This window comes from Homo sapiens, chromosome 11 (genome assembly GCF_000001405.40).
Source record: "Homo sapiens chromosome 11, GRCh38.p14 Primary Assembly".
In the NCBI taxonomy this organism is placed as follows: domain Eukaryota; kingdom Metazoa; phylum Chordata; class Mammalia; order Primates; family Hominidae; genus Homo; species Homo sapiens.
In genome coordinates, this window is record NC_000011.10 from 97,021,963 (window position 1) to 97,026,074 (window position 4,112).

Genomic DNA, 4,112 nt, shown 5'->3' on the forward strand with positions numbered 1-4,112 from the left:
AGACTTTTCAGTGGAAACATTGCAGACCCAAGAGAGAGTGGCATGACATATTTAAAATGCTTAAGGAAAAATAAACACCTTTTTACTGTAGAATAATATATCTGGCAAAAAATATCCTTCAAGTATGAAGGAGAAATAAATACTTTCCCAGACAAACAAAAGCTGAGGGATTTCAATAACACCAGACCTCTCCTACAAAAAATGCTAAAGGGAGTCCTTCAGTCTTAAAGAAAAGGACATTAATGAATAATAAGAGATCATCTGAAGGTATACAATTCACTGGTAATGCCACGTAGAAAAACACAGACTATTATAACACTGTAACTGCAGTGTATAAACTACTGTTATTTTAAGTAGAAAGATTAAATGATGATCTAATCAAAAATAATAACTGCAACAACTTTTCAAAACACAGACAATAGACTAAGACATAAAGAGAAATAAAAAAAGTTGAAAAGTAGGGGATGAAGTTAAAGGGTAGAGTTTTTATTTTCTTTTTGATGTTTGCTTATGCAATCAGTGTTAAGATGTCGTCAGTTTTAAATAATAGGTTATAAGACAGTATTTGGAAACGTCATGGTAACTGCAAATTGAAAAACATACAATAAATACACAAAAAAAATAAACAAGAAATTAAATTATACCAACAGAAAAAAAATCACCTTCACCAAAAAGAAGACAGAAAGGAAGAAGGAAGAGAAGACCACAATACAATAAAAAAAAATTATCAAGAGTAAGTTCTTATTTATCAATAGTAACATTGAATGTAAATAGACTAAACTCTCAAATCAAAAGACATAGAATGGCTGAATGAATAAAAAAGCAAGACCCAATGATCCGTTGCTTGCAAGAAACACATTTCACCTATTATAAAGACACACATAGACTGAAAATAAAGGGATGAAAAAAGATATTCCATGCCAATGAAAACCATAAACAGGGCAGCACTAGCTATTCTTATATCATACAAACTAGATTTCAAATTTAAAACTGTAAGAAGAGACAAAGAAAGGCATTATATAGTGATAAAGGGATCAATTCAGCAAGAGCATATAACAATTCTGAAGATGCATGAACATGACATTGGAGCACCCAGATATATAAAGTAAATATTATTAGGGCTAAAGCAAGAAATAGACCGCAATATGATAATAGCTGGAGATTCAACACCCCACTTTCAGCACTGGACAGATCTTCCAGACAAAATATCTACACAGAAACATTGGACTAATTTGGCACTATAGAACAAATGAACCTAATGAATATTTACAGAACATTTTATCCCACAGCCGCAGAATACACATTTTTCTCCTCAGCACATGGATCATTCTCAAGGATATGCCATATGTTAGGTCACAAAACAAGTTTTATGAACATTTAAACAATTGAAATAATATCAAGCATCTTCTCTGACCACAGTGGAATAAAACTAGACATGAATAACAAGGAATTTTGGAAACTATACAAACACATGGAAATTAAACATATGGTCCTGAATGATAAGTGAGTCAATGAAGAAATTAAGAAGGAAATTGAAAAATTATTGAAACAAAAGAAAATGAAAATACGACATACCAGAACCTATGGGATACTGCAAAAGCAATACTAAGAGGGACATTTATAGCTATAACTGCCTACATCAAAAAATAAGAAAAACATCAAATAAATAACTTAACCAATCATTTAAAAAAATAGAAAAGCAAGAGAAAACTAAACCCCAAATTATGAGAGGCAAAATAAATAAATAAGTAAATAAAGAATCAGGGCAGAAATAAATTAATCTGAAATGAAGAAAATAATACAAAAAATCAACAAAATGAAAAGTTAGTTTTTTGAGAAAAAAATTGGCAAACTTTTAGGCAGACAAAAAAAAGTAAAAGACCCAAATAAAGAAATTGGAGATTAAAAAAAACATTATAATTGATACTGCAGAAATTCAAATGATTATTAGTGGCTGCTATGATTAACTGTATGCCAACAAATGATAAATGAGAAAATCTGGTGAAAATGAATAAATTCCCAGACACATACAATCTACCAAGATTGAAGGAAGAAATCCGAACCTAAACAGATCAATAACAAGTAATGAGATTGAAGCTCTAATAAAAATTCTCCCAGTTAAGAAAAGCCCAGGGCGCATTGGCTTCACTGATGAATTCTACCAAACATTTAAAGAAGAAGTACTACCAATCCTACTCAAACTATTCCAAAAAATAGAGGAGGAGGTAACACTTCCAAACTCATTCTTAGAAGCCAGTATTACCTTGATACCAAAACCAGAAAAGGACACATCAAAAAAAGAAAACTGCAGGCCAATATCTCTGATTAATATTGATGCAAAAATTATCAGCCAAATACTAGCAACCCAAATTCAACAATATATCTAAAAAATCATTTATAATGACCAAGTGAGATGTATCTCAGGGATGCAAGGTTGGTTCAACATTTGCATATCAATCAAGGTGATACATCATATCAAGAGAATAAAAGAAAAAACCCATATGATCATTTTATTTGATGCTGAAAAAGGATTTGTTAAAAATTCAACAACCTTTCGTAGATAAAAATCCTCAAAATACTGGGTACAGAAAGAACGTACCTCAACATAATAAAAGCTGTATATGACAGACACACAGGTAATATAATACTGAATTGGGAAAAACTGAAAGCCTTTCCTGTAAAATCTGGAATGTGAAAAAGATGCTCACTTTCACCACTGTTATTCAATATATTACTGGAAATCCTAGTGGGACCAATCAGCCAAGAGAAATAAATAAAGGGCATACAAACTACAAAGGAAGAAGTCAAATTATCCTTGTTTGTAGATTGCTTGATCTTATATTTGTTATAACCTGAAGACTCCACTGAAAATCTATTAGAACTGATAGACAAATTTAGTAAAGTTGCACAGTACAAGATCAACATACAAAATCTATAGCATTTCTGTGTGTCAACAGTGAACAATCTGAAAAAGAAATCAAACAAGTAATCCCATTTACAGTAGGCAAAAATACAATTAAATACTTTGGAATTAAATTAACAAAAGAAGTAAAAGATTTTTACATTGAAAACTGTAAAACACTGATGAAAGAAATGGAAATGAACCACAAAGAAGAAAAAATATTTCAGGTTCATGGATTGGAAGAATCAATATGGTTTAAACGTCTGTACTACCCAAAACTATCTATAGATTCAGTATAATCCCTATCAAAAAACCAATGACATTCTTCACAGAAATAGAAAAAAACAGTTGTAAAATTTATACAGAACCACAAAAAACCCAGAGTGGGAAAAGCTATCCTGAGCAAAAAGGATAAACCTGAAGGAATCACTCTACCTCACTTCAAATTATACTACAGAGTGATAGTAACCAAAACAGCATGGTACTGACATAAAAACACACATAGTCTAATGGAACAGAAGAGAGAACACAGAAAAAAATTCAAACACCTATAGTGAACTAATTTTTGACAAAGATGCCAAGAGCATACATTGAGGAAAGAACAGTCCCCTCAATAAGTGGAGCTGGGAAAACTGTATATCCATATGTACAAGAATGAAACTAGACCCCTAGGTCTCACCATATAAAAAAATCAAAACAAAGTGAATTAAAGACTTAAATCTATTACCCCAACTATGAAACTACTGCAAGGAAACACTGAGGAAACTTTCCAGGACATTGGTCTGGGCAAAAATTTCTTGAGTAACACCCCACAAGCACAGGCAACCAAAGCAAACATGGACAAAGGGGATCACATCAAGTTAAAAAGCTTCTGCACAGCAAAAGAAACAACCAACAAAGTGAAGAGACAACCCACAGAATGGAAGAGAATATTTGCAAACTACTTTTCTGAAAAGTGATTAATCACCACAGTATAAAAGGAACTCAAACAATTGTATACGAAAAAAAAATCCAATAATCCAATAAAAATGGACAAAAGGTTTGAATAGACATTTTCTTGACAGAAGACATACAAATGGCAAACAAGCATATGAAAAGGCACTTTTCATAAATAATCATCAGAGAAATGAAAATTAAAACTAGAATGATACATCATCTCACTTCAGATAAAATGGCTTTTATCCAAAACGCAGGCAATAAGAAATGCTGC